The sequence below is a fragment of the Homo sapiens genome, chromosome 15 (assembly GCF_000001405.40).
Source record: "Homo sapiens chromosome 15, GRCh38.p14 Primary Assembly".
Classification (NCBI taxonomy): domain Eukaryota; kingdom Metazoa; phylum Chordata; class Mammalia; order Primates; family Hominidae; genus Homo; species Homo sapiens.
In genome coordinates this window covers 79080038-79096455 of record NC_000015.10, presented here as the reverse complement: position 1 = coordinate 79096455, position 16418 = coordinate 79080038, and the positions used below count along the sequence as shown (strand labels likewise).

At 51.5% G+C, this 16418-nt stretch overlaps 1 protein-coding gene across 7 annotated transcripts in view; it reads left to right on the top strand.

Annotated features, from left to right (window-relative positions):
* Window positions 1-5675: 5675 nt before the first annotated feature.
* Window positions 5676-16418, top strand: part of RASGRF1 (Ras protein specific guanine nucleotide releasing factor 1) — a 130875-nt gene continuing 120132 nt past the window's right edge. For all 7 annotated transcript variants that reach the window (NM_001145648.3, XM_017022456.3, XM_017022455.3 and 4 more), the window contains exon 1: window positions 5676-6233. In NM_001145648.3, coding sequence (NP_001139120.1) covers window positions 5958-6233 — 276 coding nt within the window. In that variant the 5' untranslated portion in view covers window positions 5676-5957. The remainder of the gene's footprint in view (window positions 6234-16418) is intronic.

Below are 16418 nucleotides of genomic sequence, written 5' to 3'. Positions count from 1 at the left end.
TATTTAAGAAACTGGCAATATTAATATCCAGGATTGACAAGTCAATGGAGAAATGAACTGTTTCATCCACTGCTGGTAGCCATGTAAGGAGTAAAAGCTCTCTGAAAATCAAGTAACACAAACCAATGTTGCAAATGTGCATCATTTTAACCCCGAAGTGCAACTTTCAGAAATTCAGCCTAAGAGAGCGAAGTGTATATAAAAAGATATTAATTGCATTATTTCCAAAAACTATGAATTGAAAACAACCTAAATCCCCAATCAGAAAGAATCCATTAATTAAATCTGTAGTAATATTTAAAATGTCCCCACATACTGTTAAGTAAAGAGACAGCAAGAGATTGAGATCATAAAATAGCATAGCATAGTTTCTGTATTCCAGAAACACACTTTGGTAGATATATTTACTTAGGAAAAGAGGATTGTATAGAAAAAAGTGATCATTGGAGAAATTATCTGTTTATTTTCTATATTGTCTAAGTTTTTTACAAAGAGCCTGCAGTAATTTTAATCAAACGGAATACTATGGCTATTTTCATTGGCTAGAAAGTAAAAGCGTAAATCGCTGGTGTCCGCAGTTGGATGTCTGGGCAAAGCTGACCAATTGAGCCCAAAGTTGGAGTAGTAAATCCCCAAGGGCAAAGCCTCCATTTCCAAGTCTGCTTCTGACCCCTTGTGCTTAAGTCTTCATTTCTTTAAATGACATGGAAACTACATTTTTCTTATGGAATATGTTGCCAAGGAAGCAGAGGTTCTCTAGATATTCCATCCACACACACGCTGCATGCCCCACACACATACACACCATACCACTCAGAAACTTCCACACATGCAATAGACAACACACATCACACACACACATACACACACACACACACACACACACACACACACACTAGAAATCCTCACTAGCGGGCACCTCCCATCCAGTCAGACCCACAGGACACCCATCTCAACAAATGCTTAAGTTGAGCTCCAGTCCAAAGTCTAATCAAAATCCCACATGAAGACTTAGCAGGATTTTGAACTGGGCAATGTCCCTGTCATTAGCTAGCCATTTCTAAATGCAGAGACCAAACCCACCAAAATATTCCTTAATTCTCCTTCTTGATTCTTTATCTACAGAGACCTCAGCCCACAGGGCTGGGAGGTGGGAAATCCAGGAAGCCAGTTCTTCTGGGATGAGGCCTGGACGAGCAGTCAGAGTACCTCATCCCAGCTCCTCCCTGTAAGACTCTGTGCATGTTGTTTCCACTGTCTGGGCCTCAGTTTTCCCATCTGTGAATGGGATTATTAACCCTTATGCAAATCCTTCTTGGGAGAATGGAATGAAGCATGGCAAAGCCCAGATGCACCTACGGTGCTCCTGTAGACATCCTCTCCACCTTTGAGGGAGGGTTGACCTCAGGACTAGTGGACAGCACACATGAGAGCTAGGTGTGCCCACTTCCACCAGCTATGGCAGGGAATGCCTACCCCCTTCTTGGCATTCCCCACCCCAGCCCAAGCTAGGGCCGGCCTGGTAAACGTTGTCTTCTTAGCCAGCTAACTTAAGCACCTTCCAGGGGCTCTGAGCTCTGACTAGTATTGAGGCAAACGACCACAGAGGGGCCAATCAGCTCTTCTCCGGTTTCCAGCTGTGGGGACTGGAGAGAAATCAATATGCACACAGCTCAGATGGGAGTAATCAAAGCGCCAGGGCTGATGCCACCCCCCTCTTTCTCACAGAGAGGTTTTAAGCCAAGCCCAGCCCTCCTGCATGGACTGGCCCACGAGGAATTCCTGTAACTCCAAGACCAGCAAAAGGAGGTGGCTCAGACTCCCCAATGCCAGCAAGGGGAAGGAGGGAGTGGAGAGCAGATGTTCTTGGCCCAGGCTTTAGACCAGTGGTTCTCAACCCCAGCTGTGCATTGGAATCATCTGGGGAGCTTTTAAAAGCACAGATGCCCAGGGCCCACCCTCAAAGTTTCTGACTTAATTGGCCTGGGGTTCAGCCTGAGCACAGAGATTTTTAAAACATCTCCAGGTGGTTCCAAAGTGCACCAGGGCTGAGACTCACTGAAGTGGGTTCATTTTTTTTTTTTTTTTTTTTTTTTTTTGGAGACAGAGTCTCGCTCTGTCACCCAGGCTGGACTGCAGTGGTGCGATCTCAGCTCACTGCAACCCCCGCCTTCCGGGTTCAAGCAACTCTCCTGCCTCAGCCTCCTGAGTAGCTGGGACTACAGGTGTGTGCCACCACACCTGGCTAATTTTTTTGTATTTTAGTAGAGACAGGGTTTTACCGTGTTGCCCAGGCTCATCTCGAACTCCTGAGCTCAGGCAATCCGCCTGCCACCTCTCATCGGAATCTTTCCCCCAGATCCAAGGGAAGATGGTTTTCTTCCTGCTACACTAAGGGTCAGACAGAGAAGGCATGCTTGGGCATCCCTTGTAAGACAGGGACTGTATTTTGTTTATCACTGTATCCCCAGTGGCCCACCCATGCCTGGCACAGATGAAGGGCTAAATGAACACTAGTGGAATGAAATGTGTGTGAATGAGTGAATGAATGAATGAATCCCATTGCCTCCCACCTCTCGAGTGCCCTAGAACTTTCAAAGTGTGGTCTGCAAACCAGCAGCTTTTCATGACCAGGGAACTTGTTAGAAATGCAGATTATCAGGTCCTGTCCCAGATCCACTGAAAGAGAATCTGCATTTTCACAAGATCCCCAGGTGATTCATGTGCACGTGACCATATCATGAGTTCTCCCGTATATGAGCGGTTCTCCACCTTCACTGCACATTACAACTACCCATGAAAGTGTAGCTAGCCCACCCATGATCTCTGGGAAGTGCTTGTTAAGTGCTCCCAGGTGATTCTGATGTGCAGCCCAGGTTCAGAACCTATGTACCATAAGTCCCTCTGCCACAGCAGCCTCTGTGCAGGCTCAGCCTTGACTCCAGCCTACCTGGGAGACCCTCTCTTGACCATCGTACCCCCTCTTGGGATAAAAGCCAACCTCCCTGCAACCCAGGGACCACCCACTTAGCTCTACAAAGACCTCTGGGACAGACTGCCCCGTTCAAATCCAACCTCCGCTGCTTCCTAGCTGAGCGGCCCTGAGCAAGTCATTCAACTCTCCCATGCATCAGTTTCCCCGTCTGTACAATGGAGCTCATTGGGGAAAAAAATAAACTTACTACATTGGGTTGCATGACGATTCAATGGCTTAATTGATCTAAAGCACTTAGAACAGTGCCCCTTCCCTGAAGTTTTCTTGGCTTCTGTAACAGACTTCCGAATAAAAGAGTTTAGATAAAGAAAGGCCAGATTAAGAACCTCAATCCTGCAAACTCTGCTTCCATGAAGAGAGCAAATGAGAAGAAAAGATGGTGATAGTGTAGGGAAAATTAAGACTGAATGAAAAGGCTTAGCCATCTAGCCTATTTTCATTATTTGTGAAGAAAAATCAGCACCACTGAGTCCTTGGGGTCCCTAGGACTGGAACGATGGCACTAGAGGGAGGACTAAGGTTAACAAGGCCAGTTCCTCCCCCAAAATGCTCCCACTCCAGGAACACAGGCCTGCCTCACTGTGCTCAGGACAGGGGCAGCTCCATTCCTCCACAGCAGAGCTTCTCTGTGGATTCTTCCGTGACCTACACAGGGCTGCCTGGTTTCCAAGCCCTTCCCTAGGGCTCCAAACTAGGGTGTGTGTGTGTATGTGTGTGTGTATGTGTGTGTGGTGTGCTGCATGTGTTGTGTGAGGTGTGATGCGTGTGTGTGTGCAGCCCAGGTTTGGTCTGTGGGAGGGGTGTGTTATGTGGTGTGTGTGTGGTGTGGTGTGTGTGGTGTGGTGTGCATGGTGTGTGTGGTATGTGTGGTGTGTGGTCTGGTGTGTGGTGTATGTGTGGGTGTGGGTGTGTGTGGTGTGTAGGGGTGTGTAGGGGTGTGTGTGGTATGTGGGTGTGGTGTGTGTAGTGTGTGTGGTGTGTGGTGTGTGGTGTGGGGAGTGTGGGGGTGTTGTGTGTAGTGTGTGGTGTTTGTATGGTGTGGGTTGTGTGTGTGTGTGGCGGGGGGTGTGGGGGAGTGTGGGGGGTGTGTATGTGGCATGTGGTATGTGTGTGGTGTGTGGCATGTGTGTGGTGTGTGTGTGGTGTGTGGTGTGTGTGTGGTGTGTGTGTGGTGTGTGGCATGTGTGTGGTGTCTGTGTGTGGTGTGTGTGGCGTGTGTGTGGTGGGGTGTGGGGGGGTGTGGGGAGTGGTGTGTGTGTAGGGTGTGTGGTGTGTGTTTGGTGTGTGTGGTGTTTGGGTGTGTGGTGTGTGTGTGGTGTGTTGGTGTGTGGTGTATGGTGTGTGTGTGTGGTGTGTGGTGTTTGTGTATGCGGTGTGTGTGGCGTGTGTGTGTGCGTGTGTGGTGTGTGTGGTGTATGGTTTGTGTGTGGTGTGTGCGGTGTGTGTGTGTGGTGTGTGTGGTGTGTGTGTGTGGTGTGTGTGGTGTGTGGGTGTGTGGTGTGTGGTGTGTATCTGTGCGTGTGTGGTGTGTGCTGTGTGTGAGTGTGGGGTGTGTGTGTGTGTGTGTGTGTGTGTGTGTGTGTGTGTGTGTGTCGGGGGAGGGGTATACGCAGTTTCCGTGCGGAAAGATGGTGTCTTTCCTTCACAGGGCTGCGCGGGCACCCATCCCCGCTGCAAAGCGCCCGGGCCAGGCGCGGCTTGCTCCGGGTCGGGGCGAGCTCGCTGCCCTCTGCGGCAGACAGCGATGCGCGCTCCCCGCCCCAGCTCCCGGCTCGCCCGGCGGCCCGCGCGCCCTCCCGGTGCAGCATGCGGGCGCTGTGACGTTCTCGGATAAATGCCGTGTAACTGTGTAGGCGAATGAGAGCTAAAAATAAGAACGGAAAATCTATCATTAAGGTATCATTGCGCCAGCGCAGCTATTTGAAGGCTCCCATGGTCCCCGGCGCCTGCGTTTGAAGCCCGCCTTCAGGCTTTGGGGGGTATTTGCAGAAAACTCCCAGCAGCGGCTCGCCAACCAGACCTCAGGGTGCACGGGGGGTGGCGCCGGTAATTATGGCAACTCTCAAAATAAAATAATATAAAATAAAGTAACCAACGTTCACCAACCACCACCCCATCTCACCCCCTGTACTGTCCTCAGGTAGCTGGGGAAGCCGCCGGGAGTGCAGCCGGATGCTGGAATTCAATGTGACCCGGCTGACTATGCAAAGACTAGGACTGGACGCTTTTGCAGCTCTATTTCGCCACCCACCTTCCTCCTTCCACCTCGTATTAGAAATAAAGTGGGGGGGGGGGGCGAGCCTTTGGAGGAGAAAATGACAACTGGCACTTAACCCCAGGTCTACAGTGCGCCGCGGTGGGGCGCAAAGACGCAAACTCCCGGGATGGCGAGCCTTCGGGGTTTCATTGGGTTAAACGAAAATTGATCTGATTTGCTTTTTAACATCCGAGGGAGAGAAGGGGAGATGAGGGGAGGGAGGGCAGGGTTTGAGTGTGTGCGTGTGCGTGTGCGTGTGTGTGTGTCTGGGGAGGGGGAGGAGGCACCAAGTTGCAGCCTGCGCGCGGCTCTGCGCCTCGGCGGGGCTGCGTGCGTGTGTCCCTGTCCGCGCTGCTGAAACGGGCTCTTCGAGGGATCGGCGTCACATGACTCCGCCTGCCCCTCGCCAGCGCGCAGATCGCCAGTCCCTCAGTTTGCCCGGCACCGGAGGAGGGTCGGGCGGCATCTTCCGGGTACTGGGGCTCTGCGGAGCGGAGAAGAGGTTCCAGCGGGGAATGGTATATCTGGATTCAAGAAGCCGCGGCTCGGCGCCAGATCCTGGAGTGTAGATATTTGGGGGGAGGGGAGAGCTAGAGGGAGCGAGCGAGCGAGCGCCAGAGAGAGGCAGCGCGCAGCGCGCACGGACGGGGGGCTGCTGCGCGGAGAAGATGTAAGCGCGTGGGGTCTCGCTGGCCTCTGAGCACCATGCAGAAGGGGATCCGGCTGAATGATGGCCACGTCGCGTCCCTGGGACTGCTGGCGCGCAAGGACGGCACGCGCAAAGGCTACCTGAGCAAGCGGAGTTCGGACAACACAAAATGGCAAACCAAGTGGTTCGCGCTGCTGCAGAACCTGCTCTTCTACTTCGAGAGCGACTCGAGCTCGCGGCCCTCGGGGCTTTACCTGCTGGAGGGCTGCGTCTGCGACCGCGCGCCCTCCCCCAAGCCGGCGCTGTCGGCCAAGGAGCCGCTGGAGAAACAGGTGAGGCGAGCGTCGCGTCCTGACCTCCCTGCGTCCCGGCCGCGGCCCTGGGGGCTCAGGGCCTTCGGCTGGCTGATGGCGCTTGAACTTTGGCCCCTCTACTCTTGGCGCCCTAGGCGCTCTCTGCACCCTCAGCGAGAGGGGAGGCTTGCTCCCAGCCAGGCGAGTGACTGCGGCGGGCAGAGGGGGCAGGGATTGAGGGCGGGGAGTAGATGTGGGCTGCGGCTGCCCTTCGCCGGACGAGCCCCGTGGGAGGCGGGTACAGAGGGGCCGACACCTGGAGATGCAGAGGAAGATGGGGTCCTAAGGACCAGAGACGATGAGTCTGGACACACGTCCAGCCAAAAATGGTGCTCCCAACCCCCACTCCCACCGCCCAGCCCTAATAGCCCCGATCGTCTGTTCTACACCGGGAACGTGTAATTCCCCGCGCTTAGGCATGGGAAGGGCAAGACGGAGGCGTCCGAGCGCTGCCAGCCCTTGCCTCGCCGCAGCTGAGGGCGGAGAGCGGTCTGCGCTAGCTCCTCGGAGTTGGGCTGGGGTTATGGGGCTACACGGGTCGGTTCGGTACCATCGAGCGGTGGTGGGCTCCCAGCTGGCGGCCGCCGGAGCAACAAGCCCAAAGATTCCCAAGGACCGCTCTGATGCGCCGGGGCTAGGGCCAGGGCTGCTGCGGAGGCAGCGGGACGAAGTGGGCGCTTCTCTCCTCCCCCGCCCCCTGCGCCGCCGCCGCCGCCGCAGTCGCGGCTATAGCGCTGCGCTCTGGTTTCCTGAGCTGCAAGGCTGAAGAGCCAGGCCTGGCTCTAACAGGGAGCCCGGGCGGGGTGGGGGTGAGCCTCTGGCGTGAAGGGAGGAGGGGCACCTGCAGAGAGAGCCACCTTTAAGCTTGGTGCGCTTTCCAAAAGCATCTGGTCCAGTCCCTTGCCACTAGGAAGATAAAGCAGATGATAGTGGATCCTAAAATGCCACTGCAGGCAGGAACCTTCCATCCATAGGGCCTAACGGCTGGTGATTGCCTAGATGGGGACACTGAGGCCCAGAGAGAGAAATTCACTTGCCCAGCGTCATGCAAGTTGTTGAGGCCGTCCCAATGTTCTGAAAAGACAACCGAGATCTCAAAAGCCACTGCTGCATGAAGACACAGACTGGTGGTGATTGAATTGGTTGAAATAAAAGCATCGCTTGAAGTCTTCCTCCCAATTGTCAGGACAGAGATCCGAGCTCAGTCTCTCTAGCACATCTCTTCCTTCCCTACCTTCAGCCAATGGGTGTTAGGAGATAGTTTCTGAGGACTGGGAAGTGTGGACAGGAATTTTTGAGGGTGGGTCCCTGGGGATGACAAGCCATGTGGTGAGCAGGGGCTCCCAGATGGAAAGAAGAGCAAAGAGCAGGCAGCTCCTTAAGCTTCAGCTCAAATGGAGCCTGGGGAACTCATGTGGAAGAGCCAGTCCCAGGCCAGACTAGAGAATTTGCTCTCAGCCCTTCAGAACTTGCCCCTCTCCAGCCAGTGTCTACCCATATACCCATACCTACCCGGGGCCTGCAGCCCAAGCCCCAGCCCCAGCCAGATCCCCCCTCCATCCCTCAACCCACTACACTAGATCACAGAGCTGAGCTCCTGGGTAGGCAGGAAGTGAGGGGTGGGGGAAGCCAAGTTGGCATGGGCTCATATTATCTGTTCTCAGCCCCCTGGACGTGAAGGCAGACAGGCCTGAGACTGAATCTCAGCTGTATGACTTCCTGGCTGTGTGACTTCAGTTAACTTGCTGAACTTCTCTGAGTTTCCATTTTGTAATCTACAAAATGAAGATAATAACACCTACCTTTCTGGGGTTTTGAGAGCCCTACATTAAATAATGTATATGAAAGTAAGCGCCCAATACATTTTAGTTAGATCTAGACGAATCACAGTTGAATCTGAATTATACCCACCTGGACAGAGCTATTTAGGTCACCAGATGTTAAAGTCGAACAGAACCTCAGAGATACAGCCTTCCCATTTTACAGACCAAGAAACTGAGAGGCAAAGAAAGGGAGTTACCCAACAACGGGGTAAATCAGTGGCAGAATCAGACCTAGAATTCATCCAATGCCTAAGAATTCCTGAAAATGAGACCCTACATTGATTTCAAATCATCCAACTCTTGGCCCAGGTATTGAATCATCCTAGCAGTAGATCATGGGAGGAACATCAGTGCAAAACTAATTGATGAGATGCACTCATGTTCAGAGCTGTTTCCCCAGAACACTACTAGTCAGAGATCCTCAGGTTTGTTCACGAGAGCAGCCCTCCTGGCACAAGAGAACAGAACCGGGTTAAAAGTAGCAGATGATGGTCTGGCGCAAATTTCTGTTAAAGACTCATACTTAAATCACATATGTTTATATAGGTTCCATTTGCCTCTAGACCAACTTTGACTCCTGTGGAAAACTAGATCCTGCTCCTTCCGGCTACACATGTGTACAAAAATTCATCGCTGTTTCTTTTCTCAATCTTTGAGTAAAATCGATGGTGCCAGCAGCTGCTCCATGTTTCTCTTTGACTTGGGTGCCCCATGGCATAAGCCACAGAGCCTAGCATGATAGGTCTAACTCCAGGCCATTCTGTGACCAGGCTTGAGCCTACGAGAAGCTTTGGCTCAATCTGCTGGGCATGTACAGAGTGCCTGAGTTGAGAGGCGTCTACGAAGCCATCTGTTTAACTAGACTAGCTGGTGTCTGATGAAGAATTGGTTTCAGCAGGAAGCCATTTTACCAATGTCCAAGCAGACAGCTTCCTCCCTGAAGGGCCAGGGATGGTTTTTGAAGGAATAGAAACCAACTCTTGGCTGGGAACCCCTAAGTGGCTGGGGCAGAATCAGGGACCGTGCACATAGTAGATGCACAGGAAATGCACACTAAGCTGGACTTGTTAGCCTATCATATGTTAATTCCATATTTTATGTCCTCAACCTAGAAGCTGACTGTCACAGGCTGTGAGCCCCTGAGGAAGACAGACATAGATAAGGGTGAGCTCCTCACCCCGTGAAGATGCTCTAATAGCGGGATATGCAAGGCGCTCTGGCACCAAACACCAAGCCCATCCTAACATTGTGCAGTCTCATCTGGCTGTATCCAGACCAGTCTGACTGCCTCTGCTGCAGCCTCAGTGTCCAGGGAGCTCTAGCCTAGGATCCTAAGGCCTCATGAAGTCAGACTGGCACAGCCATGCCCCCTATTCCATCTGGCAGCTGCAAGCCACCTCCCTGGCCTGGGCCCTTTGCTCAGTCCTGACCTCTTCTGCTCCCAGCCCTGTAGCCCACACACTGAAAGCCCAAGTGCTGTTGACTTAGAGCTTGGGTTCATCTTCCCTAGAGGCTGGCCCTTGGTGTTCCATACCCTTCTTTGGCATGGAGTCCCCCAACCCCGACTTTTCCCACTCTCATTCCAAGCTCCCTGAAATAAAATGTCCAGCCCCAGCTTCTCAGTAGGGTACCCAGCCAAACCAACTCCAGCACTCCTTTCACTCTTCCCAACCAGGAAGGGTCAAAATGTGGGCACCAGGCTCTTCCTGATTCTCTTAGGACAGAAGAGACTCAGACAAATCCTGGCAGCCAGAACCTCAGAACCTGATGTTGTTGGAGGTCCCAGAAGCTGGGGGGGGGGGGTCTTAGAACCTGTTGTCTACCCACTTAGTTCCCTTCTCTAGAGACAAGACAAAGCCCCACTCCTGAGTCCTCATGCACAGGACACATTACTGGTTGGCCTGGCAGATTCAGATCAACAACAGCCCCGAGGTTAATGAGTACACTCATTTTACAGATGAGGAAACAATTTCATCTGTGGCTGCCCAGCAAGGCAATGGCAGAAATGAGATGCGTTCTCTGGCTTTCTCACTCTGTAGCTATTCTGTTGTCACCACAAAGCACACCCTCCTTGGAGTTATAACACATTCAACCTCTCAGCCAATCAGAAAAATGAAAAGCTGAATGTAGAAAAATAAGGTTGCTCTAAAAGCAGCAGCCCTTAGACACAGAACCCTGGGACGCTGGTATACATATGGTGCCAACAACGCAGAATGTAAGATGCTTGCACCTATAGGAAACCAGCAAGACTACCCAACCCGTTCCAGACCATGCCCAATCCTAGCAGGTGTGGGGCCCCAGGATCAACTGTGTGGGCTACTCATCACCCACCCCATCCCCCAAATGTTCCTAGAGTTGGAATGAAGTTGAAGAGGCACAGTAATTATGCCTGGAGTGGGACAAGGGAATATCGGCTCCTTGCGCCTATGCTTGGTGACAGTGTGGTGAGGATCAGAAACAAATCGTACATCCACAAGCCTGAACTAAAATTCCACATTGTTTATTCACGCAGCAAACATTTTGGCCCTTGGTGTCAGGCCTGTGGTAGGTCCTTCAGACACAGAGAAGAAGAAAACTTAATCTTTGTCTTCAAAACACTCACAGTTGAGTAGGGAGCTCGCCTCTCTCCTCAAAACTCACTCCCACAGTAATCACCAAGTGATGGCAATTCTTCCCTCCTGAAGAGCCTGGGACTCTTTCTCCCTGCCTTGCCTTGTTCAGGAGCTCATGGAACCCTGCCTGAGACTTATTGTAGCTATTCTGTTGTCACCATAAAGCACATACTCCTTGGAGTTATAGCACATTCAACCTCTCAGCCAATCAGAAAAATGAAAAGCTGAATGTAGAAAAATAAGGTTGCTCTAAAAGCAGCAGCCCTTAGACACAGAACCCTGGGATGTTGTGAAAGCATCAGTGGCTCCCATTGCCTTTAGAAAGATATTCAAACTCCCAACCATGACCTGGAGTACCCAGTAAGATCCACCCTTTGCTGGCCCCTCTAACCCAGAGCCACCCATCCCACTCTCCTCCTTCCTCATCCTGCTTAGGCCACCACTTTTCAGAGCTGCATGTGCCTCCCCTTTCCTATCTCAAGGCTGTGGCAGAAGCCATTCCCTCCACCTGAAATGATCTCCCACCAACCATGCCCTTAGAATGAACAGCTCCTTCTTCTCCTGCAGGTCTTAGCCTAAACGTCACCTCTGTCATCACGTGCATTTACAGCACTGGACTCTTCATTCATACAGCTGATCACAGTCTGTGATTACCTCATGTATTTGGCCAGTTGCAAACCATCCTTCTCCCCACTGGAATGTAAGCACCAGGAGAGCAGGAGGCAGGCAGAGGCAGGAGACTAATCAGGGGCTGCTGGAACCCAGAGTCCAGGTGAGAGAGGTGGAAGCCCTGAGAGGATGAAGGAACGGGGTCTTTACGATTAAAAAAAACTTCACCAAGAGACACTCACGTGGAAAATTGGCAAGACCTGCCATCCCATTGGTTGTAACAGAAAAGAAGACAGGATCAAACCTGAAGTCCATGGTTCTGCCTGAGGCCACCAGGCAGATGCATGTCACCAGTAGAGAGGGGAGAGCTGAAGACAAGCAGGTTTATGGGCAGTGGAAGAGGATGAGTGGCAGTGATCTCATCACATTTAATCTCAGGGAGGTCACATTTGAGAAGCCCAAGGGCAGAAAAGGGCTTTAATGCCCCCACCCTCTAGTATGGTAAGGACACTTATTACAGAAACCAGCGGAGCCCCACGAGGAGGACAGTGGGTGGTGTGTGCTGAGAGGGGTGGACCGAACAAAACGGCATGTGCAGAAGCTCAGCAGGTGGCGGCCCTGTTGTCCAGAGCCCAGGGAATGAAGTGATGTGGCTGCCAGGTGCACCGCAGGGGACGTGCAGGCTGGCTGAGAATAGTGCCAGCTGGGCAGAGCCTCATGAGGTCACTTTGGGGTCTGCCTGCACTCAACGCTTTCACAGCCTGGCCTGGCTGGTCAGCCTTTGCTTGCACTTCTTCAAGAGCAACGAGCCAGCACTGGGAAGTTGAATTTGGCGGCTCGTCTACACTAGGATTTCAGTTTTCAAGACTGCCAGGCAGGTGCCATCACTCCTCCTTCATAGTATTTGCCAAACCTGCACAGGAGAAGTAGGATTTGAACCTTCTCTCCCACTGGGTCACTATAGACAAATCCTTAACTTCCCTTCATCGATGATTTTCTGCCTCATTCTGAGGAGCCCTGGGGGCCACACTCCCACATCAATCAGAGCAGTCCCATTTTTAACTGTTTTATATGTTAGGTTTCCACATGAGATTTTATCTTTCCTAGTGCTTTAAAAAGCTTGACCTTCACCATGAGTTATTACTAAATGCCCTTCAACTCTGCCATGCTATGAATGCAGATTTAAATGTATATAATTTTGTAGCAGGATGTTTCAAAACGCCAGATCAAAAATGTTGAATGACAATAAATACCATTTATTGAGCACCTGCTGTGTGCCAGGCACCAGAGTACATGTTTTACCTACAGCTCTTCCCTTAATTATTCCAACAGCCCTGTGAGGTTATCACTAATTGCCCATTTTCTAGATGACAAAACTGAGGCTCAGAGATGTTAAGTTGTTCAAAGTTACAGAGCAAGTACATGCAGAAGCTGGGCCATGAACCCAGGAGGTCTTCCTGATTCTAAAACCTGAGCTCTTCATCCACAAACACATCATAAAGACTGGCTGGGGACTGTTATTCCTTGCTGTCTATTGCCAAAATACATGGAGAAAGAAAGAGAATTAATAGCAGGTGAAAATATGTCACAGTCGCGCCAGTGATTTTTGTGAAGGCGGCTTTTGTTTCTGCTTGGGTGGGAACCTCGCAACTCTGAATCCCCTGAGCATTGATGGGAAGCGCACCAAGGCAGGCATCCACACCCCACAATCCGGTTTCCCTGGAATCTGTGGGAGCATGGAGCCGGTGCCCGTGTGCGTGCAGCCAAGAACAGAACTCAGCCCCCTGATGTTTATGCAGGAGCACTAGTGACGCGTGGACTTGAGAGAGGTCCAGAACACTGCCAACGCCCAAACACTTCCGTGAGGGCGACTGTCGTGCAGGGAGCAGCTGGGAGGTGTGGACACCCCCACTCTCTGTCCCCGACTCAGAGAGGAGAGTACAGCCCCTCACATGCAGCCTTCATTTCCAGCCTCCAGCCTCCTTCACTGAGGAGTTATTTTGTCCCTGATAGTGAGGCAGCATTGAGAATTCGCAGCCATGGCGACCCGGCATTAGATCCTGGCTCTAAGTCTCGGCTCTGCCACCTCCTAGCTTGGGAAGGCTTTTAAGTTCTCTGAGTCTCAGTTTCCCCATCTCTGTGTTAAACTACACGCTGTTTGGAAAGCCCTAGCACAGCGCAATAGGTGTTATCAGTAAATTGCAGCAGCTGGGGCTTTGGCTTCCACCTTTATGACAAGACTGTTCCTCACTATAGCAGTGACCCAGGTCCCTGGGGTCTCTCGCAGGCTGGAAGCAAGCCAACACTGAGCCCTGACCCTGCATATGAAAATAGGATGGAAATCTTAGCTCAAAGAACCTGTGAGTTCCTGAAAAGGTCCAAGCAAGCAAGCCCTTACCAAAGGACAGATGATTGCTGCAGGAGCTTTCTTCATCCCTGTGGACAAATCATCACGAAGCCCTGTTAGTTTTTCCTCCTGGGTATATCTCTCAGAGCTGTGCCCTCTGTCCCTCTCTTCCTCCACCACTGTGGTCCAGGTTGGCATCACCTCTCACCTGGACTCATCTTACGCAGTGGCCTCCTAACTGGTGTGTCGGTCAGGGTAGGTTGGGTTGTGCTGCAATAACAACCAACCCCCAGATCTCCATCAGCACAACTAAGACTCATCTCTTGCTTGTGCTTTATGTCCCATGCAGCTGGCAGGAGGCCACTGCTCATGATGATCACTCAGGGACCTGGGCTGGTAGAGGCTTGGTCCTGACACCAGCCTCCATGGTCCCCTCCACTGAGGGGAAGGAGTGTGACAGATGTCTCATTGGCTTTTCCCAGAAGGGACCCACTCTGAGCACAGTTCACTAGACAGGGTGAGCCACCTGGCTTTATTTCAGAAGAGGTGCAGAAGTACAGACTTACTGTGTGCCTGGACACAGAGCGCCAGAAAGGCTGAGAGGAGAATATGGTGCTAATGGTAGCCACTGTCCCCACACATGCACTGTGCCCCCACCCCCAGTCCACTGGCCTCTCTGCAGCCAGAAAAATCTTTCTAAAATGCAAATCTGATCATCGGGCACACACACAGTAGCTGAAGAGAGGTTTTATGGTGGTTTCATGAGGACACGGATAGTATGTGGTGTGAGTGTAAGCTCAGAGCTTACAGGGGCAGGATCCTTGCCTGGCCTCCCCTCCTTTCATTAAGCTCGGTGACTCTGTCATTCTTGACCAAATGTCACAGAAGCATTTTGGCCACTAGGCTTCCCTGGAATTAACAAGGGAGAGGATTTTAAAGGCTAAAGTGTCCTCCTGAGATGTTAACACTCCATTGACAGCCTTCACTCAACAGAGATTTACCAGTACCTCTGAGGGGCCAGGCCTATGCCTCCCTGGCACTGGGAGGATGGGACAAACAGCAGGGGCCCTCCCTGGAGGGGCTTGCCATACAGCGAGGGGACAGCCTGTGAACAGACAGTGACAATGCAGTGTGATCCCTGCTGGCACACAGGAGAGCCAAAGAGGGGTGAGAACTATGGGAGTCCAGTAAGGGCACTTCCCCCAGCCCTGGGGTGTGGGGGGTGATTAGGGGCATATAGGTTGCAGGGGACACCAAAGCTGCCCTAAAAGCCTGTGTGCTATGTCACAAAGCTCAGGCCTTCCCAGGCCCAGTGCAGAGCCAGTGCAGGGCTCTGAGTGGGAAAGGGGCTGCTCCGATCTGTGTGTTAGGAAGATCACCAGAGTGTGAATGAACAGGAGAAAACCCATCTGGAGGCAGGAAGCCAATTAAGAGGAGGCTGCAGAACTGAGCAGTAGCAAAGGCCTGAATTTGGGGAGTACCATGAGCACTAAAGGTCTCCCCTCCACTCCCATCCCAGCCGTGACTCAGCCACTGAAGCCTGTGCTTTAGTGGTGGGCCATTAATAACACCCAGAGCTCAAGATTCTGAGACTCTGCAGCCCCATGCCCTCTGCCCCATGCCCTCTGGGGCTTCCCACATCCTGGGTTTGGGGCGGCAGTGGGAATGTCAAATTCTCATCCCGTGAAAGCTTCAAGTGTTGTCTCCACACCTTCCAAGTCAGCCACCCACTCAGATAAAGCACCTTTTCAGATTACAAAGTCTTTTTCACGATTAGCATTTCATTTAACCACCACAGTGACCCTGCAGTTACTGTGGTTCTACATAAGAGAGGCACGATCCTCATTTGACAGACGAGGCTTGCATAGACAGAGTTCATTCTCTCCACAAATACCAATTGAGTGTCTATTTTGTGCCAGGCCCTGAGCTCTCGCTGCTAAATGTCAGAATCAGAATCTGCACCAGGCCTCCAGGTTCTAGGTCTAGTGGACATTGAGGCTGGTTGTTAAATGAGGTCATTTATACTCTAAAGACTAGATTTTACTAATCCATCAGGGCTAATGCAATTTCTTTCCCCTGAAACATGAGATAATTATTTTCCAAAAGATACTTCCTAGTTGAGCTTTCTTTTTTTTTTCAAACTGGAAAATCCAACTCAGATCTTAAAATAAAGTCCTTTCAAAATCAGTTTTAGAAGAATGAATGAATTTTTGGTAACCTTAGCTGGTATTCCAAAACTCCATGTAGAAATTTAGAGAAACGTGATCAAGATGAACTTTTCCTGTGAGACTATATGAGTGAAATATAATCAACTTTGTTTAGATACCTCTTGGGCTCTTAGCCAAACTCAAGAAATTAGTGAAATCATTTGGAAGAACCTGTTCACATGTAGTGTTCTCAGCCTGCCCAGTTTCCCTGTGCCCTAAGCCTGCTGCTGCCCTCCCACCCCCTTTCCTCCCTCAATGGGCCTTCCTGCCCCCTCACTGCACTAGTGGCCACCCCAGCTCCCTTCATCTCTGGTCACATCTGCAGGCAGCAAGGAATTGGAGTTGGAGGGAAGGGCTGGTGTTTCAGGAGGAAAGCCAATATCAGGTGGGCACCAGTGAGGAGAAGCAAGTAATTACATCTTAGAGTTTCCTGGTAGCCTGAGCAAGGAGGGAAACAGGCTAGTTATGAGATAGTCATTGCCTCATGGAAAGACAAAGTCCAGTTGCTCAGGCAAGAGTACCTGTGTCCCAGAAGCTTACATACAGGGGACCAGCAGGGAAATGAT